Here is a 27,224-nt window from a genome sequence, read left to right as displayed (position 1 = left end):
TGGGGAAAAGCCCCAACCCCCACCAGGACCACCTGCCCCCCAAACTACTTCAGATGCTGAGCCCAAGCCAGGAGCAGGAAGCTGGACTGATGCCTAGGGTAATCCCGACAAAGTCCCTGACTCCCCCCAGCTATGGGGCTGAAGGGGAATTACAGCCCAAACCCCAGATGCTGGCTCTCAAACTAACCCTGAGCCCTCAGTGCCCAAAGGGAGACTCAATCAGCACACTTTCCAGATGGGGAAACGGGCTCAGAGAAGTGCAAGAGCCTTGCCCAGTGCCCCAGACCAGGACTCTAGGCCCAGAGTGTTCTTTTGTCACTGTGTCCAGAGGGTAGCAGCTGCTCTGATATAGCCACCTGAGCCTGGCAACTTTCTCCAACTTTGGAAGCCCAGGAGCATGACCTGTGCCCACAGATGCACCTGGCATGAGGTGCACCCAGAGGGACAGAGGCAGATGAGTTTTGCCTCCTCCACTGGATTGTGAAGGCCTCCAAGGAGACAAGGATCTGCTTGAGAAGGCAGCAGATAGTCAGCAACCTGGGGTGGTTTAACTCTGGATGGATCTGCAGTGCCTGGATGGGACCTGGCTCAGACAGAGCTCAGTTCTGCAGGTCACTGAGGCATGGAAAGGTCACAGCTACCAAGTGTAGGAGTCTGGATTCAAAGCCAACAGCGTGACTCCAAAGTCCCTGCCCTAGCCCCTGGACCACCCACCTCTCGGAGTCACCCTTGCAAGCTCATCAGATGTTCAGGCCAGCAGCACAACCAGCCAGGGCCAGGGAAACTTGGGGAGCCTCATTCCAACATAATCCTTGCACCCTTGCCCCTCACCATCTTTCTTCCTGCGTTAACCTCACCCCCTACACAGAGCCTGGGCCACTTAACTTGGCATCAAACAGATGCCTCAATAAATCAGAGTCTGATCTTCTCGGAAAAAAAAAAAAAAAGACTTAACAGATATACAGTTGCAAGTTAGAATGTTAAAGAACATAAGCATACAACAACTTAATGTACATATAAATTCAATATGTAGCCAATCATTGTGACTATGACACAACAGAATATTAACATACTATTTTCAAAATGTATACAAGCTTAATGATCTATTTATATTCAAAATATGAATCATCAACATAATTTGCCATTAATATCTCATTCAGTCCCTTCACAGGACACATGATCCACTGGGAGTTAACACAATAGCAGCTGGCAGGCAGTGACACACAGCAAAAACGAAAACCAACAGGTGAAATAGTTCTGAAATAAAGAAGGTTTTAAAGCTAAGAGAAACCATTGAATTCCTAAGTCATTAGGACTAATTTTGAGCCAACTAATTAATATGAGATGAAACAATGTCCTATGCTTTGGTAAATTCAAACCATGTTTAAACAATGTCTATAATGGGACTTTCAAAAAGCTCCTGGCTTTACAAAGGTGAGATTATAACATAGTAATACATGCTAAAGCATTTCCCCCTGCAGATGAGCATGTTGTAACTTTCATCAGCCACATTGAGAGTCCAGAAGATGAGGGAAAAGGTTGTGGATTTCACTGAGAACTTACCAGAGTTGAACTCCCTCACTTTCCGTTGCCCATCATTGGCAGGTTCCGGAACTGGTGGCTGTGGTAGTTTGTTGGTCTTTGGTCTCTTAGAAGGTGGAGAATCATCATCATGTTGAAAAAGAAAATGGTCATTACTGAAGGAACAATTCTAGGTTACAGCCACCTCCTGGTAAATTCCCAACATTCAAAAGGTGAGCGGCTTTAAAGCTATTTTGAATATTAATAATTATTCCTGTACTATGATCTTCAGCATACATTTTTCTAGTTACATTTGAAATTTTATTCTTTTGGGATGTGCTCAAGTGAATACTGCTTTATCCTCTGTCTTGCTTCATTACTTTTTAGTTTGCTTCATTTGAATCATCATTATAAATCTCCCCTTGCCCTCAAATAACTCTGAAATTGCTGCCAATAACTATATTGTTTTAAGGCTTTTCAGAAAAAACTTTCAACAAAGACAGCCACCTAAAGTTATACAAATATAGAAGAAAGGGAATATAATAAAGCTTAGATTGGAAAAAATATTTAAGCTTATACAAAATTCAAACATACATAAACAAGGGAAGCTGGATAATTTTATGTTCAAATACTTTTAACAAGTGCAAAATGTATATGCTTAAAGAAATAGGGTTGGCCGGGCATGTTGGCTTATGCCTGTAATTCCAACACTTTAGGAGGCCAAGGCAGGCAGATCACTTGAGGTCAGGAATTCAAGACCATCCTGGCCAACATGGTGAAACCCCATCTCTACTAAAAATACAAAAATTAGGCTGGGCGCGGTGGCTCACACCTGTCACTTTGGGAAGCTGAGGTGGCCGGATCACCTGAGGTAGGGAGTTCAAGACCAGCCTGACCAACATGGAGAAACCCTGTCTCTACTAAAAATACAAAGTTAGCCAGGCGTGGTGGCACATGCCTGTAATCCCAGCTACTAGGGAGGCTGAGGCAGGAGAATCGCTTGAACCCGGGAGGTGGAGGTTGCAGTAAGCCGAGATGGCGACATTGCACTCTAGCCTGGGCAACAAGAGCGAACTCCGTCTCAAAAACAAAAACAAAAAGATATTAGCCAGATATGGTGGCGCCTGTAATCCCAGTTATTCAGGAAGCTGAGGCAGGAGAATCGCTTGAACCCAGGAGGCGGTAGTTATGGTGAGCAGAGATCATGCCACTGCACTCCAGCCCAGGTAACAGAGCAAGACCCTGTCTCAAAAAAAATAGGGCTACATTATTTATGAAACAGATACTGTTGACTCAGTCACCAGAAAGCGAAGGTCGCCAACATCAGACAAATTCACTGGAGGACCTATGTATGTGCTTTGAAAGACAACACTGTTTTGGTAAAGAATACTGTATTTCAGAAAAACATAATCATATTAACAACTAATAACACTGTAAAATGCTGATGTGTTGAATGCTACTTTAGAAAAACATGTTCAAGTCTAGGAAAAAGATTTCCGATAGAAAACTACGTATCAATTACCTAGCTAGCTAGCTATCTAGAGACAAGGTTTCATTCTATTGCTCAGGATGGAGAGCAGTGGGATGACCATAGCTCACTGCAGCCTTCAGCTCCTGGCCTCAAGTTATCCTCCTGCCTCAGACTCTTAAGTAGTGGGGCCACAGGTGGACACAGGTACACCTGGCTTTTTTTGTTTGTTTTTTATAAACAGGGTTTCACTACATGGCCCAGGCTGGTCTCAAGCTCTGGAGTCTTGCTCTGTCGCCCAGACTGGGGTGCAGTGATGCTTCTCGGCTCACTGCAACCTCCGCCTCCTGGGTTCAAGAGACTCTCCTGTCTTAGCCTCCTGAGTAGCTGGGACTACAGGCATGCACCACCACGCCCGGCTAATTTTGTATTTTTAGTAGAGATGGGGTTTCTCCATGTTGGTCAGGCTGGTCTTGAACTCCCAACCTCAGGTGATCGGCCCGCCTCAGCTTCCCAAAGTGCTGAGATTACAGGTGTGAGCCACCGCGCCCAGCCTAATTTTTGTATTTTTTTGTAGAGACTGGGTTTCACCATATTGGCAAGGATGGTCTCAAACTCCTGACCTCAGGTGATCCACCCGCCTCGGCCTCCCAAAGTGTTGGGATTACAGGCGTGAGCCACCGCACTTTCTTATGTTATTAAATAGCCTAGCCCAGGAGGGTACGGTGGCTCACGCCTGTAATCCCAACAACTCTAAAGGCCAAGGTGAGAAGATCGCTTGAACCCAGGAGTTCGAGACCGGCCCGGGCAACATAGCAAGACCCCCCCCATCTCTACGGAAGATACAAAAATTAGGCCAAGCGTGCACCGCGCCTGGCTAATCTTTGTATCTTTCGTAGAGACGGGGTTGCGTCATGTTGTCCAGGCGCATCTCGAACTCCTGAACCCAAGCCATCCTCCTGCCTCGGCCTCCCAAAGTGCCGGGATAGCACGGCCCAGGGAGCCTCATGTGTTCTTTAAGCAGTCCCTCCCGGTTGTACACTTGGATAGTTTTCTTTTTTATTTTTTTATACAGGGTTTACCTCAGTCTCGCAGGCAGGAGTGCTGTGGTGAGATCACAGCTCATTGGAGCCTTGAATCTTGGGGTTCAAGTAGCTGGGAGGCTGAGGTTGGACTACAGAGGTGGGGTTGCGCCATATTGCTAGGCTGCTCTTGGCCTGAAGGAATCCTCCTTCCTGGGCCGTGCCCGGACACATAGTTTTCCATTTTTGACCGACATAAATACTGTGCTGGGTGGGAGTTTGTCAACTACCCCTTTCCAGCCAGCAACACACAGGAACTGGCGGGGAGGTCGCGGTTACCAGGCTCCACTCTGAGAAGACTGCCCAGCTCCAGGAACTGTACAGCCCTTGTGACGTGGCAGAAGGCCCGCCCCTGTGACGTCACCGAAGGCGCCCCCAAGATGTCGCAAAGGCCCGCCCCTCACGCAGAGCCAATCGGAACTCCAGGTGCTGGGTCTTCCAGGAGCGCGCCTGCGCGGGAGGGTGACCACAGGCGGCCGGGCGGGATGTCCTGTCCGCAGTCTTCAGCCCAGCCGCCGCCACCCATAAGCTATGAGGAGGAGTTTACGACCACCTGGACTACTACCACCTGCGTGACTTCCCGGCCTGCGGGGTCCGCGCAGCAAAGGCTTGACGCTGCTGGAGCAGGCGCTGCGCACCTACTGGCTGGCGCCTGGTAGGCACGAGCGCAGGGTCGCCCAGAAGCTCCTCAATGGCCTGAGCAAGTACCAGCCAGCGCCAGCTGCAGCCCTGGCCGCGCACTCGCCTCAGCTGAGCCTGGGTATGTGCACCCCCCAACACTTCCCCCAGCCATGTTCCGGGGACCTCGAGAGCGTCCCCCACCGCCCGGTGCCATTCGTGCTGGGCAGGGTCGGCCCCCTTTGAGGCTGCCCCGCGTTAGGGAGCTGCACCGCACCCCCCCAGCTTGACCTCTGACTGCCGTTGCAATAGTATTAAAGCCTTTGGAACTTTGTAGGTGGGTAGAAGGGGCTAGGAAACGAAGAAAACATCTTTTTAAAAATTTATATAAGGGACTGGCCGGGTGCGGTGGCTCACACCTGTAATCCCAGCACTTTAGGAGGCCGAGTGGGTGGATCACCAGGTCAGGAGTTGAAGACCAGCCTGGCCAGCATGGTGAAACCCCGTCTCTACTAAAAATACAAAAATTAGCTAGGGGTGGTGGCGGGCGCCTGTAATCCCAGCTACTCGGGAGGCTGAGGCAGAGAATTGCTTGAACCCGGGAGGTGGAGGTTGCAGTGAGCCGAGACCGCGCCATTGCACTCCAGCCTGGGCAACAAGAGCAAAACTCTGTCTCTAAATAAATAAATAAGATTTTCAAGGCGAGGCATGGTGGGTCACACCTAAATAAGTAAATAAATAAATAAAATGGATTTTCGGCTGGGCATGGTGGCTCACGCCTGTAATCCCAGCACTTTGGGAGGCCGAGGCGGGCGGTTCACGAGGTCAGGAGATCGAGACCATCCTGGCTAACACGGTGAAACCCCGTCTCTACTGAAAATACAAAAAAAAAAAAAAAATTACCCAGGCGTGATGGCGCGCGCCTGTAGTCCCAGCTACTGGGAAGGCTGAGGCAGGAGAATGGCGTGAACCCGGGAGGCATAGTTTGCAATGAGCCAAGACTGTGCCACTGCACTTCAGCCTGGGTGACAGTGAGACTCCGTCTCAAAAAAATAAATAAATTATAAAAAATGAAATAAAATGGATTTTCAAGGCCAGGCATAGTGGGTCACACCTATAATCCCAGCACTTTGGGAGGCCAAGGCAGAAGGATTGCTTGAGCCCAGGAGTTCGAGACCAGCCTGGGCAACAGGGCAAAACCCTGTCTCTATCAAAAGCACAAAATAACCTGGGCATTATAGTGCACACCTGTAGTCCGAGCTACTCAGGAGGCTGAGATGGGAGGATGGTTTGAGCCCGGGAGGCAGAGGCTGTATTGAGCTGAGATCATACCACTGAACTTCAGCCTGGGTGACGAGCCAGACCCTGTCTCAAAAAATAATAATAATAATAAAAATAAATTCATATAGTTTGGTATGGTTTAGTAAGTTTTAGCAGGCAGATTGTCAGGGTAAGATGGATTGTTATATATACATTTATATATATAATATGTATATTTATATACTTATTTATTTTAGCAGAGATAGGGTCTCCCTATGTTGCCAGGCTGGTCTTAGACTCCTGAGCTCAAGCAATCCTGCCTCGGGTTCCTAAAGGAAGCTCACGTTGCAGGTGTGAGCCACCACACCTGGCCTATAAGGGGAATTTAAGGGACTCTCTACTATGATGTCCCTTCTCCCAATCCCTTTCCGCATGTAGAAGAGGGTTCTGTTGAGTGACTGGCATTTGCTTATATTTCTCAGTGCTATGCCCAGTGTAATGGAAAATGCACAGACTGGCTCAAGAGCCCAGGGATTTCAGTTCCAGGCCAAGCTCATCCACTGACTGACAGAGTCAGTCAAACTTGTTTGGATTTCAGATTCTTCATCTGAATAACGTAGATAACACTTATCCCATAGTACACTGCAAAGATGACACGTGACAGTGAAAAAGTTAGTTTCCCTTTAAATGTTAAGAATTAGGCCAGGCGCAGTGGCTCACACCTGTAACCCCAACACTTTGGGAGGCCGAGGCAAGTGGATCACAAAGTCAGGAGTTTGAGACCAGCCTGGCCAATATGGTGAAACCCCGTCTCTACTAAAAATACAAAAATTAGGTGGGTGTGGTGGCAGGCGCCTCTAATCCCAGCTACTTGGGAGGCTGAGGCAAGAGAGTCACTTGAACCCGGGAGGCGGAGGTTGCAGTGAGCGAAATTGCGCCATTGCACTCCAGCGCCTGGGTGACAGAGTGAGACTCAGTCTAAAAAAAAGAAAGGAAAAAAGAATGAGATTAGAGAGGGCCTTCATTCCTCCTGGAAGAACATCTGATGTACCTGAAATCTTTGTTGGTGACAGGAAATGTGTCGATAGCATAGGGTTTCACTGTCGCCTCCCACACAGGGCCTTCACCATCTCTGCCATCTGGAGAATTTGTTCCCATCAGGAATCTCCCACCTGGCAGTGGGACCATGCTAGTAGCCTGTCCATTTCCTGCAGATAAAAAGGAGAGATATCGGTAATACATGCATATATATAAAACAAGTGGTAATATTTGGATCGTATGCAATACTCATGATGGTATGACAAAACAAAACAAAAAATGTGGAGGCTTAAAAATCTGGCTTTAAATTCCTTTTGCATTTTGTTTGCCTTCACATTCTTGTTCTGCCACTTAGTTTGATGGGAAACCTTAGGCAAATTTCTTAATCTGAGATTCAATTTCTTTTCTTTTTTCTTTTTTTTTTTTGTGACAGGATCTCACTCTGTCACCCAGGCTGGAGTGCAGTCATGCAGTCTTGGCTCACTACAGCCTCTGCCCCCGTGGGCTCAAGCAATCCTCCCACCTCAGCCTCCTGAGTAGCTGGGACCACAAGTGTGCACCACCACGCCTGGCTAATTTTTGTATTTTTTGTAGAGATGGGGTTTTGTTATGTTGCCCAGGCTGGTCTCAAACTCCTGAGATCAAGTGATCCTTCCACCTCAGCCTCCCAAAGTGCTGGAATTACAGGTGTGAGCCAACACGCCCGGCTGAGATTCAGTTTCTTCATCTGAAAAATGAGGATACCTATGGACAACTGTAGCTTGTTCATAAAAGAAAAATAAGTATGAAAAATGGGGATAATATCTCACTATCTCTTAGGTAGTAGCTGTATCAATTAAAGTAACACGGAACCAGGTGCAATGGCTCAGAGACAGGGTGCAGAAGCTAAGGCAGGAGGATTGCTTGAGCCCAGGAGTTCAAGGTTGCGGTGAGCTATGATCATGTCACTGCACTCCAGCCTGGGTGACAGAGTGAGACCCTGTCTCAAAAAATAAAAAATAAAAAGATAGTAATAAAATAGCATGGGTGAAATGTTGCGCACATGATAGATTTGCACTTACCTCTTTCTTCCTCTACACAAACCCTTGCCCCAGCTAGGCGAATTTAGACACTCTACCCTAAAATACATCTAGCACTTTCTACCCATCCTTCTGCTCATGCTGTTTCTCTGCCTCTTCCTCTCCATTTACTGAACTCTTATCAGTTCTTGGTGATTCTCACCATTATATGCTCCAGAAGGGAAGTATATAATACATATATATTTTTGACAGTATATCCCTGGCCCCTGCCATAAATGCGCAATGATTATCGCCATATAGTTAAATGAGCACCTTTAGACTTGTTTGAATGCCTCAGAAAAATCATAGAATTAAAAAGGACCGGCCAGGCATGGTGGCTCACGTCTGGAATCCCAGCACTTTGGGAGGCAGAGGTGGGCAGATCACCTGAGGTCAAGAGTTAGAGACCAGCCTGGCCAACATGGCGAAACCCCGTCTCTATTAAAAATACAAAAATTAGGCTGGGTGCGGTGGCTCACACCTGTAATCCCAGCACTTTGGGAGGCCGAGGTGGGCGGATCACGAGGTCAGGAGATCAAGACCATCCTGGCTAACAAGGTGAAACCCCGTCTCTACTAAAAACTACAAAAAAATTAGCTGGGCGTGGTGGCGGGCACCCGTAGTCCCAGCTACTCGGGAGGCTGAGGCAGGAGAATGGCATGAACCCAGGAGGTGGAGCTTGCAGTGAGCTAAGATTGTGCCACTGCATTCCAGCCTGGGCAACAGAGCGAGACTCCATCTCAAAAAAAAAAAAAAAAAAAAAAAAAGCCAGGCATGATGGTGCACACCAGTAATCCCAGCTACTTGGGAGGCTGAGGCAGGAGAATCACTTGAACCTGGGAGGCGGAGGTTGTAGTGAGCCAAGATCGTGCCACTGCCCTCCAGCTTGGGGGACAGAGTGAGACTCTGTCTCAAAATAAATAAAAAAGGGTCTGTGCTTCAAACTCCTTATTCCACAGGAGGAAACCAAGACCCAAAAAATAAATATGACTTAAAGAGCTGGTTAGTAGGTGACAGGACTAGATTTGGGTCTCTTTACGGTACTGTTTCCAGTAGGCCACACTTCTTCAGCTTGATGCACCACTTCAGTGTCTTTCCAAGAAAGGATGTCTAAGCACTGTAACTTCTTTCAAGGCAGAGTCCTGGTCTTTTGATGTTCCTCAAGATCCTGTCTTTGGCTCTCTTATTCTGACACATTCACACTGATTTCATCCATTTTCTTTTTCTTTCTTTTTGTTTTTTTTTTTTTTAGGCAGAGCCTTGCCCTGTTGCCCAGGCCAGAGTGCAGTGGCATGATCTCGGCTCACTGCAACCTCTGTCTCCTGGGTTTAAGCGATTCTCCTGCCTCAGCCTCCTGAGTAGCTAAGACTACAGGTGTGTGCCAACACTCCCAGCTAATTTTTTGTATTTTTAGTAGAGATGGGGTTTCACCATATTGGCCAGGCTGGTCTTGAACTCCTGACCTTGTGGTCCACCCGCCTTGGCCTCTCAAAGTGCTGGGATGACAGGCTTGAGCCACCGCGCCTGGCCTATTTTCAGTTTCTTCAACAAATATATCACCAAGGGGAAAAAATGGATCATCCTGGCATGGTGTCTCAGGCCTGTAATCCCAGCACTTTGGGAAGCTGAGGCAGGGATTGCTTGAGGCCACAGTGAGCTATGATGGCACCACTGCACTCCAGCCTGGGCAACACGGTGAGACCTTGCCCCCCCGCCCCACCAAAAAAACAAATAAATAAAAGGAGTAAGTAGGGAAATAATCAGATTGAATCGGAATTAAGAAATAACATACAATTGCAATGTATGAGCTTTATTTTGTCCCTAATTCAGCCAGCAAACGTTAAAAACCCTTTATGGGATAATAGATGAATTTGAACAGATTGGATATATTATTAAGCAGCACTGCCAGTTTTTTAGTTGAGAAAGGGTAATTATTTTTTCGTGACTTCTTTTGACTATTCCAGCTGAAGGTTTAGAATAAAATGGGTTATGTCTGGACCCACTTCAAAATGGCTCCAGGAGACGGGGAGAGTGCGATTCCACAGGAGCAGGACTGGCCACAAACTGGCAGCTCTTTAAGGTGGCCCACGAGTACGTGAGGGCAGGGGTCGTTCCTCGTTACATTCTCCTCTTTCCCTTTTTTTTTTTTTTTGAGATGAAGTCTCGCTCTATCTCCCAGGCTGGAGTGCAGTGGCAGAATCTCGGCTCACTGCAGCCTCCGCCCCCTGGCTTCAAGGGATTCTTCTGCCTCAGCGTCCTGAGTAGCTGGGATTACAGGCCTACGCCACCACACCCGGCTAATTTTTTGTATTTTTGTGGAGACGGGGTTTCACCATGTTGGCCAGGCTGGTCTCCAACTCCTAACCTCAAGTGATCCACCCGTCTCAGCCTCCCAAAGTGCTGGGATTATAGGCATGAGCCACCGCGCCCGGCCTCTCTTTCCCTTTTATAAGATTGAAAGATTCCAGAGCAAGAAGTTGAAAGCACAAGGCGGTGAGGCACCCTGCGCACCGAGAGCGACCTCCCCAGCCGGCGGCTGCAGGCGCATCCCGGAAGCGGGCAGAGGGGCCTCAGGCTCTCTCCCGCCAGGGCGGAGGGCCCCATCCCCTTTCCCAGCGCCTCCGGCGTGGCCGGCGGTTCAGTGACCTAGCTTGAGCCACGCACCAACCAGGAGCGACAGCAGGGACAGCAGCGGTGATGAACAACCCATGCTGGCATCAGGACTGGCGCGCCACGCCGCGCACACCCACGGCCCCGCTGCTCATCCGCCCTCACGCACCACGGTGGCAGTCGCCTCCTCCACACATGCGCATGCTGCTCCACCACCGCCCCTCACCCAACGGTTCAGCGGGGGAAACTGACGGACACGAGGTGTAGGACTGGCCATACCACCTGCAAGGCTGCCCAGGGAAGTAAGGAAAAGCAGGTTGAGGGTCCCTAGAGGCCCCTTCACTACTTTTTGAACCTTTGGACAGCTTTCATTCCCTTTAAGATTGCTTCTGTGTGTCAAACCATTGCAAGACCACAAAGGAGGTTTCAACTTAACATTTATTTGCACACTCCAGGTCACTGCTGAGCCCCCAAAACCCACAGCCTAGTAACACCAACTTCACTTTCAAGGACCGCAGAGATAGACCAACTATATAAATCTTGTGGAAACATAGTAATTTGGGTGAGGAAACTATGACGCTAGAGGCTTTGGGATGAATATTTTGCATAAGCAAAAGTTCAGAAGCTTGAAAATATAGTCAGCCTACAAATCTCAAATTTCACCTGATAACCGTAGCCCTTAGCCACCATGCCTTCCAGCTCTCTCAACTCCCTTGCCTCTAGTTTACTCCTCTTCCCATTTCCTACAACTTTGTAGGGGGAGCATTTTAGCAAAGCTATTTCAAAAGCGTGAAAAGTCCAACTGATCAATAAATTTACTCAGAAATTTACACTAACGGGATGCTTCCAAAATTTTAAATTACTAAGCGTTATTTATATTAGCATAAAAATTTTAAAACCAGATGCTTAACAATAGGGTACTGCTGAATAATTTAACATATGTCCACATAAAATTAAACCATTAAAATCTGCTTTTTCAAGGAATATTTAATAAGGTAGGTAATATATGCTTATTTAACATGGAATTTTATGTCACTGCTGCTAAAGCAAAACATCCTGTTCACTGGGTGAAAGACCTGCTTTATCTGTGTACACTTCAGTGCAATTTTTAAAAAATACTGTGATTATAATTTCAGAACTTCCGAATTTCAACAGATGCCAGTGTTCTCTCCTTTTTTCACATGGGAAAATTCCCTTGAAACTCATTTGAAGCTTGGACAAAAATTCCACAGCTGTATTCTTCAGGATCACTTTGCAGAGTCTTCAAGACTCAGATACAGAGGAAGCTTCAATTCAACCTTTCAGAGAAGATTCCAGCTCGCATGATCTCATCAACCAAGAGAATGTTGGTGGCAACCAGTGCTGAAAGGGGGATAAAAATTAGATAGCTCAGATGATTAGGAGCCCTAATTCGACTCAACTTCCCACTTCCAACTAAGCTGCACACGTTAACATCCAATTAAATTTCCCCCTTCCCCTCTACACATCAGAGGGCTAGTTCGGTTTCCATACTTTCAGCTGATTACATTATTCATGGGGGAAAATGAGCAACTAAACAGAAAACACCAAATGAAGAGTATGATGATTCTCTAACAGTTTAGTTTTCATTTTCCCAAACTTACCAGGAATGAAGAAGCTGTTTCTTTACACAATCGTTATCCCATAATGCCTGCTTCTGCTGCTACCACGGGCTCACCTAAAAGGCAACCAAAGTAAATTCAGTCAATAAGAACCAACAATATTGTGTGTGGCTTTGCTTATCACCGATGACTCATTTCCTCCAGTATTAACTATGGGAATTCAAAGCTTCTCTGTTAGCCCAATTTTCTACTCTAAACCATGACCCCTGTCCACAATATTTGAGGAGTGTCTGACTTCTACTTAGAAGACCTGAACACCCCTCTCTCCTTCTGGATACATTTCTGTTTACCCATACTAAAGTACAGCACTGCAACTCTAATCTGGCTAAAATGGACTGATCATTTCCCTCATTCCAGAAATCTTTTTTATTAAATAATAATGTTGACAGCAATAGGTCTTGCACATACTGCATGGATGTACCTGTTATCTGTCTCCTACTTTGTACTTAATTTGTGTTGTTTTGTTACAGGGGCCTAAGATCAGGGCTGTCACCATTTCATTAGATTTCTAGATCCCCTCTTCTGGCATTATTTGCTATCTTTAGCTGTTTTTCACCCATGAATATAATCACCCAATCTATTTTCTTATCATAGTACTTGATTAAAAACTGAGTAAGGTGGCCGGGTGCGGTGCTTCACGCCTGTAATCCCAGCATTTTGGGAGGCTGAGGCGGGCAGATCATGAGGTCAGGAGATCGAGACCATCCTGGCTAACATGGTGAAACCCCATCTCAACTAAAAATACAAAAAATTAGCCAGGCGTGGTGGCAGGTGCCTGTAGTCCCAGCTACTCGGGAGGCTGAGGCAGGAGAATGGCGTGAACCTGGGAGGCAGCAGTTGCAGTGAGCCAAGATCTTGCCACTGCACTCCAGCCTGGGCAACAGAGCAAGACTCCGTCTCAAAAAAAAAAAAAAAAAAAGAAACAAAAAGAAACAAAGAACTGAGTTTAAGGCAAATGCAATATGAAAATCCTTCAACATTAATCTGAACCATCTACCACCACTCAACATCTCCAACAAAACTATACCAAAATTACTCAGTCTACTCTACTCCCTTAATTATTATACCTAGTCATTCCATTTTTTATTAATATCCTATTTTATCCCATTTTAGAACCCAGACTTCCCTAATAGTACTGGTGTCAAATTGCAAAGCAAAAGATTTTTTTTTTGGTCCCCATTTTGAATCTTTCCTGGCTTCAACTCACATGTACTACATCTAGTTTTTCCTCTACAAACAGTTGCATTCTCTTACCTGTGTTCAGGTCCACACCCACGAGCTGACCTGATTCTGAATGTTCTGCTTAAATTTTAACTAATGTTTCCTGAAGGTCAAAACCAGAATTCTGCGCAAGAACCTAAAGTAAACAAATTTAATTCCTGAGAAAACAGGAAGAATTGATATTTAAAAAAAAAAAAAAAGGGGCCGGGCATAGTGGCTCACACCTGTAATCCCAGCACTCTGAAAGGCTGAGGCGGATCACAAGGTCAAGAAATTGAGACTATCCTGGCCAACATGGTGAAACCCTGTCTCTACTACAGATACAAAAAATTAGCTGGGCATTGTGGCACGTGCCTGTAGTCCCAGCCACTCAGGAGACTGAGGCAGGAGAATCGCTTGAACCTGGGAGGTGGAGGTTGTCGTGAGCTGAGATCACGCCACTGCACTCCAGCCTGGGCGACAAGAGACTGCATCTCAAAAAAAAAAAAAAAAAAAAAAAGCAAAACAAAGTCTCGGCCAGATGCAGTGGCTCATGCCTGTAATCCCAGCACTTTGGGAGGCCAAGCCAGGTGGATCGCCTGAGGCCAGGAGTATGAGACCAGTCTGGCCAACATGGTGAAACCCCACCTCTACTACAAATACAAAAGAAACCTAGCTGAGTGTGGTGGCAGGTGCCTGTAATCCCAGCTACTGGGGAGGCTGAGGTTGCAGTGGGCCGAGATCACACCATTGCACTCCAGCCTGGACAACAAGAGCAAAACTCTCAAAATTCTTAAAAACAAAACAAAACAAAACAAGAATCTCATTGCATGAAGACAGAACATTTATGTTCCCTTCAGAGAATAACCAGACACAAGTTACTGATCAACTCTCTCATCTACCCCAAACCCAGCAGCAATACATCAGTCATAAACTATACTTCAAAATTAGTATATAATAAAAAACAATGATATCAGTTTAGCTAAAACCAAAACAAAAAGCAAGTTGGTACTCAAGTATAACCCCTAATACTGCAAATATTAAGCTACAGGTTCTCTCTTGCCATCTGAAACGTCAGCTATTCAGGCCTCCCAGAGAAACCAAATACGTTTGGATGTTTTATAGTCAGGAAGAAAACTGATCAAACCCGTTTATCCAAAATCCGTATTATGAATAAAGCCTACATTATCAAAAAGTTTTGATCAGCTGAATCTTTTGGAAGATTGACTGTTTAAGGCATACACACCTTGGGAATAACGAGCAACACATCAGCAAATGCTTGGACTCCAAGCTGTGCCTTGCCCTTTACACTGAGCTTATATTTATTCAGGGCTTCTGCCATTGCCACTTCCACGGCACCAGCACCGGAACCACACAGCCTGTTGGATGGGGGAAAAAGAAAAATGCTAAGAAAACTGTAGAACTAATTATGAATAACAAAATATACATATGAAAGCCATTAATTTCTTACAAATTCACTATGACCACATCAATTTAAGTACTGCATGTGAAAGCCACAATACAAGCGACTAACATATCAAATAGGAGAATGGTCCAACCAGAATGGCTTCACTGGCCACTGGCAGCTCTTTCAACAGATCAGTATTAGTTCATTTATTTGTATTCACCTTTAATAATGATATGCTATGAAAAACCTTAGCATACCATCAGTCATTCTAAAGGGAAGACTGCTTTTGCATGGTGTCTGGCTGTGTAAACTACTGATAAAAGAACACAGTATTCAGCCATGCTTTTCAGACCAGCAAAACAATTTAATAGAATTGAAATATGGTGAGGATCTTACCATCATCAATAGCATTTTTGACAGCCCTCAAGCCATCCCTTACTGCATCTTTGATCTAAGTGTGGGCTTATTTGGTCCTTTGATCAATAATGTGACAGAACGAGGGTTGTTACACTTCTCAATAAAGGTGAACTTCTCCCTTTGTGTAGAAGAAACATGATTTTCAAAAACACGATGTGTGCAAAGAGAGAAGAGGGACTTACAGAGAATGACAAGCAGCATATTAATAAGGAACAAACTTGATCACATCAAACCAAATTATCTTTTTGAAAAATCACATATAAATGGCTTCCCATTACTACACATAAACCTTCAAAATGTATATAAACAAAAATCTGATCCTGAATTTCAATTGATTTTTCTGCTAAAGACTTCATGAACCAGGCACAGTGGCTCATGCCTGTAATCTCAGCACTTTGGGAGGCTGAGGGTGAAGGACAGCCTGAGCCCGAGAGTTTAAGACCAGCCTGGGCAACACAATACCACCCTGTTTCTACAAAAATTACAAAAAAAATTTAGCCAGGCATGGTAGCACATGTCTGTGGTCCCATTTGCTCAGGAGCCTGAAGCAGGAGGATCACTTGAGCCCAGGAAGATGAGGCTGCAGTGAGCTGTGATCACACCACTGCACTCCAGCCCGGGCAGGAGTGAGAACCCATCTCAAACAAAACAAAAATAATTCATGAGCTAAAAAGTTCTATTACCCTCAGGAAGAAAATACACTTACCAATGTATACTCATATACAAGTCCTGCATGTCTCAAGCAGTCAGGACTTAGGTCCTCAAAAGAATTCAGGGCCACCCCACCACAAGCAAGAGTCAGCCTGAAATAGCATTTTAAGGGAAATGAATAAGCAATGTTACCAGTGAAGTTCAAAGAGAAGACCAGTAATTTCTAGGAAGGAATTTTTCAGAATTACACACAAAATTAGAGTTTAAAATGTACTTTAACCTAAGCCTTTTCATTTGCCATCAACCAACTGAAAACCAGTCTTTTAACCCTCCATTTAAACCACTCTCCCCAAGTCAGCAAATCTAAAGATGGACAAGAGCTCTTTAATGGCCAGGCATGGTGGCTCACGCCTGTAATCCCAACACTTTGGGAGGCTGAGGTGGGTGGATCACTTGAGGCCAGGAGTTTGAGACCAGCCTAGCCAACATGGCAAAACCCCATTTCTACCAAAACAAAACGAAAACGAAACAATTCAACGGGCATGGTGGCAGACACCCGTAATCCTAGCTACTCGGGAGGCTGAGGCACGAGAATCCCAAGAACCCAGGAAGTAGAAGTTGCAATGAACCACGATCATGCCACTGTACAACAGAGCAAGACTGTCTCAAAAAAATAATAAAATAATATTTTTAAAAAAACTTTTATTGTGGTGAGCTCTTTGGGAGAAAGTATACTGAATTCAGAGACAAAAAGTAAAATAATGTTTACAAGGGCATAGAGGGAATGAGAAATGGGGAGTAACTATTTAATGGGTATAGTTTCAGTTTGTGATGATAAAAAAAATCCTAGAGATGGACAGTGCTGACGGGTGCAAAATAATGCGAATATAGTTAATGCCAATTAATTGTACAGTTGAAAACCCAAAAATAAAGTATAAGGAAAAATAATCCCAATTCATTTGCAAAATAAGTAAAAGTCAAATTACTCAGATAAATCTGCTACTCATACCTCTCCATATTCCTCCTTTTAGCTCTGTGAAGAGCGACTATGCCTTCTTTGAAAGAGCATCTAAGGAAAAGGGGTCAATTCCCTATAACAAAAATAAAAATTAGTTTCAACATCTTTCACCTTAAAAGTAAAAAGGATGATACATACTATTTAGTTTATACACTGGATTTTCATTCTCACCTTTTGATTAATAACAAATCCTTTATCTGAATTACTACAGACTTTCCTTTTCAGTTCTATTATTTGTTTTAACTCTATCTTCAATGAATTTTCTTTCAGCTTTTATGAGTTTTTCTCTTTCTGCACTCTTGTAAAAAACGCCAGAATTCACTTCTCTATTAAGAAAAAAAAAAAGTTACAGAAAGCAGGGAAACATTTATTTTTTGAGAAAATAGCTTCTGAAACTGGATTAGTCCTAAGATTTAACAAACAGCTCACTGAGCTCCAATCCTGCCCCTTGCACATCTTCAGAGGCTGTTTCCTATAACTCTCCCAAACCAATTTGAGGATTATTGTCCTTACAGTGGGAAACGAAGTTTCACAAAAAAGTAACTCACCTAAAACACGAAGCTCCTCCATTTAAGTTAAGGGGCTATAAACTTAAGTTTTTTCATATTCTAATGACACGTTACAAATGAGGATATATGCATCCTCCACCCTTTTCTTCCTATCAAGATGCTATGCTCCATGGTCCAAAACAAGCCCTCTGATTAAGCTGTTCAAACATACACAAAATTATGGTTATTGATTTCCAGATGGGTGTACGTTAAACACCGAACTGAGAAGGCACTGATAATTTTCATGCAGTCAGCGTTGTTTCTTGAATTACTTGAAGATCCTATGCTGTACAGAAAAGTCTGCAGAGATAGTCTCCCTGGTAGGCTGTCAAACTGTGATGATATCTTTTAAAAACATGTTTTCTGCCAAGTGCCTGTAATGCCAGCACTTGGGGAGGCAGAGGTGAGAGGACACCTTAATCCCAGGAATTCAAAACCAGGCTATGCAACATAAGGAGACTCCATTCTCCATAAAAAGAAAGGAAAAATGAACATATACATGTTTTCTAACTAAGTCTTTAGAAAAAAAAATTTTTTTAATTCCTCTACTGCTTCTCATTATGCTTTGTACCTAGCAATTCAATAAACGCCAAATGACTGATGTTGTTCACCTTTCGGAATAATTCTACCCATAAATACAACATAACATTCACCTTATTTCAGGAGAAAATATTACTAAAAGTAAAAACAATCTTCACCTAGCAATTTATCCAACTTATATCTTTACCTAGCAATTTATCCAACTGATATCTTCAGGTAAATATACAATATTTTATATCCAAATATATTAAAAATTTTGCCAACAATATATATTGTACAAAGCACCCCTAAATTTCAAAACACACTTTATTAGTTTCTTTTTTTTTTTTTTTTGAGATGGAGTTTTGCTCTTATCACCCAGGCTGGAGTGCAATGGTGTGGTCTTGGCTCACTGCAACCTCCGCCTCCCAGTTTCAAGCAATTCTTCTGCCTCAGCCTCCCAAGTAGCTGGGATTACATGAGCCCGCCACCATGCCTGGCTAATTTTTGTAATTTTAGTAGAGACGGGGTTTCCCCATGTTGGCCAGGGTGGTCTCGAACTCCTGACCTCAGGTGATCTACCCACCTCGGCTTCCCAAAGTGCTGGGATTACATGCCTGAGCCACCAGGCCCGACCATTAGTATTTCATAGTCTTCTACCACCTACCTTGTATCAGTTTCAGATTTATGTTTCTTGTCAATGATCACAAAATCATGAAGAGATCAATAGGTTCATCTTTTCTTTTAATGGCCAAAATGGAGCCCACTACAGCCTGCAATAGGAGAAGGATAACCATTAAGTAAATTCAATTTGCAGCAGCAGAAACATGTTGCTTTTCAGAAGGCTAAAGTAGACAGTTTCTTCATTTTACAATCTCTACACTGATTTGTATTTTTCTATAAGCAGATAGAATACATTATATATGAACAGCTGTTACATTTCTGAAATCTCAATCTGTAATTCTCAAACATTAACATTCCTTAACATTAACATTCCTCCTGGTGTTTCATTAAAAATACTGATAACTGGAAGCTTTCTAATAACAAAATCTCCACTTTATAAACCTTTTAATGAAAGCTCCAATTTTACTTTTAAAACCCGGTTAGGTATACTATTATTTGAATTTCCTCATTTTACTTTTTAGAGACACAGATTAGGTATCACTGCCACAAAAATGAACCTACATAGCACCTTGTGATTGAAATTGGTAATTATATTCATGTTTCTACTATCAGAGATTTTCTACATAGGTGTACCATACCAGACACAGACAAAATTTAATACATACCTCTGTTAAGACATCTGCAAGTTCAGCATGAACTTTAGTACAAAGAGATGCCCTGGCCACATCTTTAAGTGTTTCCTTGTCCATCTCTCTGCTTACTTTGACTTCTTCCAAAAAATGAAGGGCTTTTCCTTCACAGCTTCAAATCCTTCAGTGATTATTCTGGGATGAAGGCCCTACAATAAACACACAATAACACTTGCATCTTCAATTAGGTGCAACTATAGTTCATGATAAAGTTCAGACAATTCTTGGAGGGATACTCTGATCATCCTATCTTTGAACACGAGGTAATATAATGTGCTGGCTTTCTGAATACATTTAAAAGGATAAATATTCCTTTTAATGCAGAGGAGAAGAGCAGGCAATGCTCTAGCACAGGGTCAAAGCCAAGGGAACTATAAAGCACACTTGGGTGTTCACTGTGCAAACCACTCCGAATCATGTCAAAACCGACACTGTGTCCCAACAACTCACAGATGGTAGCATTATTCTATCTTTTCTATAGGTAATCTCAAACTAATTCCATCATTTACTAATAAAAATAAATAAAGACTATCTGCTCTCTTTTACCCGAAAATTCTGACAATAGATTCGTAGTCACTGAGGTTTGTTTTAAACCTTGGAACTAGTCAGGGCTAAAAAAGTGGAATTTATCTAAATGTAAGCTTTTGGTTGTCTCTTTCCTAACAAATAAATATGCCTAGTCCTAAACATCCCATTTTAAAATCTCAATTATTAATCTAAAGACAGATACAAATCACATAGGCAATTCAACTTGATTACAAAATTATTTTCAGGCCAAAAAAGGTTCCATAACCTGTCCAAGCTCACAACAAATTTGTTTTAGACCAAGACAAAGACCCAGATTTAAGCCCCCTAATCCTACTGTATGGCCTCCGCTAGTATTAACACATCAATTTGTATAAATAAGTATCTGACACGTCCTATATACAATAATATATTACAGAAACAAGAGTTGTGTGCCGGGCGCGGTGGCTCACGCCTTTAATCCTAGCACTTTGGGAGGCCAAGATGGGTGGATCACCTGAGGTCAGGAGTTGGAGACCAGCCTGACCAACGTGGAGAAACCCCGTCTCTGCGACAAATACAAAATTAGCCGGGCGTGGTGGCGCATGCCTGTAATCCTAGCTACTGAGGAGGCTGAGGCTGGGAATTGCTTGAACCCAGGAGACAGACGTTGCAGTGAGCCGAGATGCCATTGCACCCCAGCCTGGGCAACAAGAGTGAAATCCCATCTCAAAAAAACAAAACAAAAAAAAGTTGTGCATACTTCAGAAATGTAGAGATCTGCCTGTTTCAGCAGCTCTCCAATGATTAGGACATTGGAAGTCGTACCATCACCAGTTATATCATCCTGGGCTGTTGCTACCTTTGCTATTAAGGAAGCTGTTGGGTGTTGAATTTGCTGAAAGTAGAAAAAGAACGAATCACTTAAAACAATATGAAACAGTCTAAAAATACCACAAATAAAATGCATGAAGGGCCTCTTTAAGTACTATCTACTTGAAAAAGCTACCCAAGTGTTTGGCTACAAATTACTAAGATTAAAAAGTCACAATTTGCTATCATGCGCATGCAATTATAATGATGGAAACATTTTCATGTGTAATTTATTTCCCAGGTTATCTCTACTTTACAGATGAGGAAGCTTGAGGCTCAGTGAAAGTTTACGCAAGATGACAGCTAACAGTTAACAGTAACGGATAATTTTACATCCTTGCCTCTTTAGGCAAGTGTAGGGCTCTACGAGAATAAGCCAGGTATCTCCTAAAATGAAAGCTCAGCAGCCTCCACTGTTACTCTGCAATGGCCAAGTAATTTAAAAGGAAAGGTCAGGTGCGTTAGCTCATGCCTGTAATCCCAGCACTTTGGGAGGCCACAGCAGATGGATCCCTTGAACTCAGGAATTCGAAACCAGCCTGGGCTACATGGCAAAATCCTATCTCTTAAAAAAAAAAAAAAGCGGAAAAAAATTGTATTTTAAAGGTAAAATGACATGTCTGCAGCTTACCTTCAAATGATTCAGAGGAAAAATAGAAAAGAAATGGAGCAACATGTAAACAATTGGTGAATCTAGGTAAAGGGCACACACAATATAATCATTATTTTCGTAGGTTTGTAATTTTTTCAAAGAAAACTGAAAAACAGACTTCTGGAGATTGGAGAGAAGTTCCAGTGGGAGGGGACTTCTGAGGTGGTAGCAACAATTTATTTCTTAACTACAATAGTGGTTGTGTGTGTCCACTTTATAATTATTTCCTAAATTGTAAATGTTCTACGTGCTTCTCTCTACTTATGCTGTATTTCTCACACACTAAAACCCAAATAAATTTTTTTTTTTTTTTGGTGACAGTCTCACTCTGTCACCTAGGCTGGAGAGTGCAGTGGCACAATCTTGGCTCACTGAAACCTCAGCCTCCCAGGTTCAAGCAATCGATTCTCCTGCCTCAGCCTCTGGAGTAGCTGGGACTACAGGCGTACAGAACCATGCCTGGCTAATTTTTGTATTTTCAGTAGAGACGGAGTTTCACCATGTTGGCCAGGGCTGATCGTGAACTCCTGGCCTCAAGTGATCCACCTACCTCGGCCTTCCAAAGTGCTGAGATTACAAGAATGAGCCACTGCACCCGGCCCCAAAACAATTCTGACGTCAAGTTTAACCGTGGCTCCACTTTTCTGCTAACACGAGCCACCACTGAACCCAGTAAAAACAAAAACACCTCCTAGATTAGCAAGTCTTTATTAAAGATATTTCATCTGGATGTTGATAGCATGGTATACTACTAGCAAAACCCTGATTATTCTGAACTCAAATCAGCAGGAAATCATTTCCCTTTCTTGGATTTGAACTGTTAAGTTTTGGGAATTTAGGGATGAGTAAAACGCATACTCCCTTCAATAATCTCATATTCTCCATCCCTAAGACTTTAAAAATGTTAAAGCAAAGAGATTTCTCTCCCCTCCAGTTGGAGATGGAGATGAGACATAACAGAGAAATTGCTGTTTTAAAAAGAGAAAAACCGGCCAGATGCTGTGGCTCACGCCTGGTAATCCCAGCACTTTGGGAGGCTGACTCAGGCGGATCACCTGAAGTCATGAGTTCAAGACCGGCCTGGCCAACATGGTGAAATACCATCTCTACAAAAAATACAAAAATTAGCTGGGCATGGTGGAGCAAGCCTGTAATCCCAGCTACTTGGGAGGCTGAGACAGGAGAATCACTTGAACCCAGGAGGCGGAGGTTGCAGTGAACCACTGGACTCCAGGCTGGGCGACAGAGTGAGATTCTGTCTTAAAAAAAAAAAAAAAAAAAACCCATAAAGAGAAAAACCATCCTCATGCATTTTGCCCATGTGATTGTGTCAACCACCCTTAATTTTTCAAATTTTATTATAATTAATGTACAATTACAGTCCTTTAGCCCAGACTGTGAATGGCAAAAAAGCAGGGATTCAAAGACAGGGCTGTCAGACTCCAGGCACAGTCAGTACTATTACTGTCACTGTTACATGTCACTTCTGAATGTTCTCCTACCTTGAGAATGGACATTGCAAATCTTTCTACAAAGCAAAAGTTCTACGGAAAATCAAGACATTTCTGACCTAGCAGAGCACCTCTCACCATTTCGTGAAGCAGCGCACTGTGCAGGACCGTGCCCGGCTAATTTTTGTATTTTTAGTAGAGACTGAGTTTCACCATGTTGGCCAGGGCTGATCGTCAACTCCTGTGTCTTTAGTAAGCTTGATGTCTCCAGCGCCAGAAACAAGACTGTTTAAGGGACAGAAATCAATCAAATTGTGACAAAAACGAAATTAAAACGAAAACTAAATTAAAAAGTCCCATTAGAAAATGGGCTTTTCCAGCCGGGTGCGGTGGCTCACGCCTGTAATCCCAGCACTTTGGGAGGCCGAGGCGGGTGGATCTCGAGGTCAGGATATCGAGACCATCCTGGCTAACACGGTGAAACCCCATCTCTACTAAAAATACAAAATAAATAAATAAATAAATAAATAAAGCAAGCTGGGCGTGGTGACGGGCGCCTGTAGTCCCAGCTACTCGTGAGACTGAGGCAGGAGAAAGACATGAACCCGGGAGGCGGAGCTTGCAGTGAGCCGAGATCGCGCCACTGCACTCTAGCCTGGGTGACAGAGCGAGACTCTGTCTCAAAAAAAAAAACAACAAAAAACCAAAACAAACAACAAAAAAGGACTTTTCCCAGATCTCAGGGAGCCAGGGATATGGAGCTAGTTATCAACGAAAACTAAATTAAAAAGTCCCATTAGAAAACGGGCTTTTCCCCGATCTTAGGGAGCCGAGAATATGGAGCTAGTTATCTCCCGCAGGCTGGAGGACAAGTGTAGTGCCCACCCCGTCCCCGCAGAGATTGTGCAGAGTCCTCAGGGTGTCTGGAAGCCCAAGAAGGCGGGGAACGCCGCACACTAGAGCCGCTTTTTTCTCCATGGAGACGGCATCGACGCAGGAAGAAATGGACGCAACGGTGGGGCTTAGCAGGGAACAGGACCGGCCCGGGAGGACGCGAGGAAGGGTGGCTGCGGAGCCCCGAGGCAGCGGGCTCCCATCTGCGGTCTTGGGCCCGCCAGGTGCGCAGCGGCGCGCGGTGCCCACCCAGCCCTCCCGCCAGCCCCACCTTACATCTTTATGGTCCCTTTGGGCCCCAGGTTGGTCCTCAGCACGTCCTGCAGACCCCGCGCCCCGCTAATGTTGAACGCCAGCGCCGCCTGCGCTCCGGCCACCTTGGCCTTGGGGTTCAGGGTCTTCGCCGCCGCCATAACTGCTCCAGAGGAAGAAAAGAAAGCGACGCGGCACGCGGAGAGCCCAGAGCAGGCGCGCCGTGGCCGGGATGCACTATCCGGATCTTCCGGAAAAGTCGGCGCGCCCAGCCCGCCCCTAGCGTGCCCGCGCCGCCGCTATTGGGCCACGGGCTGTCCGGCCCCCGCTCATTGGTCCGCGGCTGCACGGTGCCTGCAGTCCCACCCCTCGCCCAGCGGCCGCGACGCTATGGCGCACTGGAGTACCCTGTTCCTGGCAGTAAGTGCTTCTGGGTTCTGGCGTTGCTGCTCAGTGGGGCCCAAGTTTGCGGACCCGGGATCTCAGGATGCAGGCAGGGCTTATGCCCCGCGCCGGACAGGGCGTAGGGTGGGCCTCCTCCTGCCCCTACTCGCGCGGTTTGCTCCTCAGTCTCCTTCCCTTGCTGCTTTCACGACTTTCATTGGAGCTTTCTGGACCCTGTGCTTGACGGTGCTGTAGGTGCCGTGGGGACACACAGGCTAGTCTGATAAGCACCCTCCGCCGGAATCATGCGGTGCTGTAAGGACTAACGAAGATGAAGATAGAATGCAAGGTAGAAAGTGCTGGATGCCTTTAGAAAGCTGCAGGACTGGTGCGATGGGAGTTGAGTCATAACCTGTCCGTCATTAGGACTCAGGATGCTGCTGAGGCCCTAGGCTTCTATGGTAGATTTGAAAACTCACCCTTGTAGAGTGATGGTGTCCAGCCTTTGAGAGGACTCCCTTTTAAGGTAAATTTCCAAAGAGCTCCACAATTGTTTACAGTATCCGGTGCCCGCCAAATTCCAGGGATTCAGTTACACGTGATATTTTACTTCATTTTTTCTTTTTATAGACACACGGCCTCACCATGTTGCCCAGGGTGGTCTCAAATTCCTGAGCTCAAGTGATACTGCTGAGCTCAAGTGATCCTCCCGTCTCGGCCTCCCAAAGTGCTGGGATTACAGGCATGAGCCACCGTGCCCGGCCAGTATTTTATTTTTAATAGATAACGGAAATTGTTCTGAATTCAAAAGGCACCAAAGGGCATGTGGTGGAAATTAAATCTTCCTCCCGCCACTAGTTCAACACTAGAGACAAGCACAGTTACCCCGGATACTCGATGAATTTTCGGAATGCTTTCTGAATTTATAAACTTATATGTAAATATAATCATTTCCCCACACAAATGGCAATTCCTAATACACACTGTAGGGTGTGTTATACTTTAAATGTCTTGGAGAGTGTGCCATATCAAGACTAATGGGAAGTCCTCATTAACAGCTGCGTGATGTTCTTCGTAAGAATTACACAACTAGGAGCCGGGGCACGGTGGCTCACGACTGTAATCCCGACACTTTGGGAGGCCGAGGCAGGTGGATCACTTGTGCCTAGGAGTTCAAGACCAGCCTGGGCAATGTAGTGAGACCCCATCTATACAGAAAGTACAAAAATTAGCCGGGCGTGGTGGTGCATGCCCATGGTCCCAGCTACTCGAGAGGCTGAGGTGGGAGGATCGCCAGAATCTAGGAGGCGGAGGTTGCAGTCAGCTATGTCAGCTATGATATTGCCACTGCACTGCAGCCTGTCTCAAAAAGAATGATACAACTAACCAGTCACCTACTGACTGATGTTTAAGTTGTTCCCAATCTGCTATTCAGGCTGCAGTGAATATCGGTATATGATGCTTTTAGGAGGATTTGTGTATTTGAGAATCACAAAAACATCTATATATGTGACTAGAAGCACTGCACAATAGAAGACTAGTTATTAGTTCCATAGGCATTACATGGTGTGCATGCAGATTTATTATAACTGCTGTTAAAAATGTTATGAGGAGACCAGTCGTGGTGGCCCACACTTGTAATCCCAGCACTTGGGGAGGCCAAGGCCGGCGGATCACTTGAGGTCAGGAGGTCAAGATCATCCTGGCCAACATGGTGAAACCCTGTCTCTGTAAAAATACAAACATTAGCAAGACCAACAAGGTGAAACACTGTCTCTGTAAAAATACAAAAATTAGCCTGGCATGGTGGTGTGCATCTGTGATCCAAGCTACTCGGAGGCTGAGGCATGAGAATTGCATGAACTTGGGAAGGAGAGGTTGCAGTGAGCCAAGATCATGCCACTGCACTCTAGCCTGGGTGACAGAGCTAGACTGTGTCTCAAAAAAAAAAAAAAAAAGGCCGGGCCCAGTGGCTCACATCTGTAATCCCAGCACTTTGCGAGGCTGAGGCAGGCAGATGATTTGATTTGAGGTCAGGAGTTCAAGACCAGCCTGGCCAACATGGTGAAACCTCGTCTCTACCAAAAATATAAAAAGTTAGCTGGGTGTGGTGGCGCACGCCTGTAATCCCAGCTACTTGGGAGGCTGAGGCAGGAGAATCGTTTGAATTCTGGAGACAGAGGTTGCAGTGAGCCAAGATCATGTTTCTGCACTCCAGCCTGGGTGACAGAGCGAGACTCTTTCTCAAAAAAAAAAAAAAAAAAAAAAAAAAAAAAAAAAAAGCTGGGCATGGTGGTTCACACCTATAATCCCAGCACTTTGGGAGGCTGAGGTGGGTGGGTCACCTGAGGTCAGGAGTTCCAGACCAGCCTGGCCAACGTGGTGAAACCTGTCTCTACTGAAAATACAAAAATTAGCCAGGCATGGTGGCGGCCACCTGTAATCCCAGCTACTCAGGAGGCTGAGGCAGGAGAATCACTTGAGCCCGGGAGTTGGAGGTTGCAGTGAGCCAAGATCACGCCATTGCACTCCAGCCTGGGCGACAAGAGCGAGACTTGTTGCCAAGGTGACATAATGGAAGTATATTAAATACATAAATAGGAGTTATTGATAGGGGGAAAAACATTTTAAATAACATGTATAAGAAGTTCTCACTTTTGAAACATTCCCTATGGGTCTATACTGGGAGGGGAACATCACACACTGGGGCCTGTCAGGGGGTGGGGATCAAGGGGAGGGAGAGCATTAGGACAAATACCTAATGCAAGCGGGGTTTAAAACCTAGAGGATGGGTTGATGGGTGCAGCAAATCACCATGGCATGTGTATACCTATGTAACAAAACT

General features: G+C 44.9%; 1 long non-coding RNA gene, 2 other non-coding genes and 2 pseudogenes across 5 annotated transcripts in view, besides 7 other annotated features; 1 reads left to right on the top strand and 4 right to left on the bottom strand.

Annotated features, from left to right (window-relative positions):
- GTF2IP5 (general transcription factor IIi pseudogene 5) overlaps window positions 1–1,678 on the bottom strand; it is a 28,473-nt pseudogene extending 26,795 nt beyond the window's left edge.
- Window positions 4,337–4,586: an enhancer, noted in NCBI's record as "active region_26075". NCBI's record gives its function as "activates an Ori minimal core promoter by ATAC-STARR-seq in GM12878 lymphoblastoid cells {active_cell/tissue: GM12878}" and the evidence as "EXISTENCE:reporter gene assay evidence [ECO:0000049][PMID:35858748]".
- Window positions 4,488–27,224, top strand: part of LINC03006 (long intergenic non-protein coding RNA 3006) — a 123,801-nt gene continuing 101,064 nt past the window's right edge. The window contains exons 1-2 of one of the 2 annotated variants that reach the window (NR_038378.4): window positions 4,488–4,831; window positions 12,281–12,367. This is a non-coding gene — a long non-coding RNA (long intergenic non-protein coding RNA 3006). Of the gene's footprint in view, window positions 4,832–12,280; window positions 12,368–24,373; window positions 24,416–27,224 lie in introns of those variants that run through there. The other variant, NR_103527.2, reaches the window with a different exon arrangement.
- Window positions 4,833–5,455: an enhancer, noted in NCBI's record as "NANOG-H3K27ac-H3K4me1 hESC enhancer chr7:65234830-65235452 (GRCh37/hg19 assembly coordinates)". NCBI's record gives its function as "activates a minimal SCP1, AML or CMV promoter by ChIP-STARR-seq in naive H9 embryonic stem cells {active_cell/tissue: H9 hESC(naive)}" and the evidence as "EXISTENCE:reporter gene assay evidence [ECO:0000049][PMID:30033119]".
- Window positions 5,456–6,079: an enhancer, noted in NCBI's record as "H3K4me1 hESC enhancer chr7:65234206-65234829 (GRCh37/hg19 assembly coordinates)". NCBI's record gives its function as "activates a minimal SCP1, AML or CMV promoter by ChIP-STARR-seq in naive H9 embryonic stem cells {active_cell/tissue: H9 hESC(naive)}" and the evidence as "EXISTENCE:reporter gene assay evidence [ECO:0000049][PMID:30033119]".
- On the bottom strand, window positions 11,623–24,193 carry CCT6P1 (chaperonin containing TCP1 subunit 6 pseudogene 1; annotated as a pseudogene). The gene is made up of 12 exons (NR_003110.2): window positions 24,020–24,193; window positions 20,637–20,771; window positions 19,346–19,518; window positions 18,724–18,829; window positions 17,161–17,315; window positions 16,981–17,062; window positions 16,027–16,123; window positions 15,300–15,438; window positions 14,742–14,874; window positions 13,550–13,652; window positions 12,278–12,351; window positions 11,623–12,017 (listed from the first exon to the last, which is right to left on the bottom strand). The product of NR_003110.2 is annotated as a chaperonin containing TCP1 subunit 6 pseudogene 1 (transcript).
- On the bottom strand, window positions 15,112–15,246 carry SNORA15B-2 (small nucleolar RNA, H/ACA box 15B-2). Its single transcript, NR_145713.1, has one exon. It is a non-coding gene; the product is annotated as a small nucleolar RNA, H/ACA box 15B-2 (small nucleolar RNA).
- SNORA22 (small nucleolar RNA, H/ACA box 22) lies at window positions 19,639–19,772 on the bottom strand. The gene has a single exon (NR_002961.1). It is a non-coding gene; the product is annotated as a small nucleolar RNA, H/ACA box 22 (small nucleolar RNA).
- Window positions 23,982–24,051: an enhancer, noted in NCBI's record as "active region_26074". NCBI's record gives its function as "activates an Ori minimal core promoter by ATAC-STARR-seq in GM12878 lymphoblastoid cells {active_cell/tissue: GM12878}" and the evidence as "EXISTENCE:reporter gene assay evidence [ECO:0000049][PMID:35858748]".
- Window positions 24,172–24,391: a silencer, noted in NCBI's record as "silent region_18199". NCBI's record gives its function as "represses an Ori minimal core promoter by ATAC-STARR-seq in GM12878 lymphoblastoid cells {active_cell/tissue: GM12878}" and the evidence as "EXISTENCE:reporter gene assay evidence [ECO:0000049][PMID:35858748]".
- Window positions 24,412–24,681: an enhancer, noted in NCBI's record as "active region_26073". NCBI's record gives its function as "activates an Ori minimal core promoter by ATAC-STARR-seq in GM12878 lymphoblastoid cells {active_cell/tissue: GM12878}" and the evidence as "EXISTENCE:reporter gene assay evidence [ECO:0000049][PMID:35858748]".
- Window positions 24,712–24,821: an enhancer, noted in NCBI's record as "active region_26072". NCBI's record gives its function as "activates an Ori minimal core promoter by ATAC-STARR-seq in GM12878 lymphoblastoid cells {active_cell/tissue: GM12878}" and the evidence as "EXISTENCE:reporter gene assay evidence [ECO:0000049][PMID:35858748]".

Source organism: Homo sapiens, chromosome 7, assembly GCF_000001405.40.
Source record: "Homo sapiens chromosome 7, GRCh38.p14 Primary Assembly".
NCBI lineage: Eukaryota > Metazoa > Chordata > Mammalia > Primates > Hominidae > Homo > Homo sapiens.
Note: the sequence above shows the minus strand (reverse complement) of the source record. Positions and strands in the feature narration are given on the sequence as shown.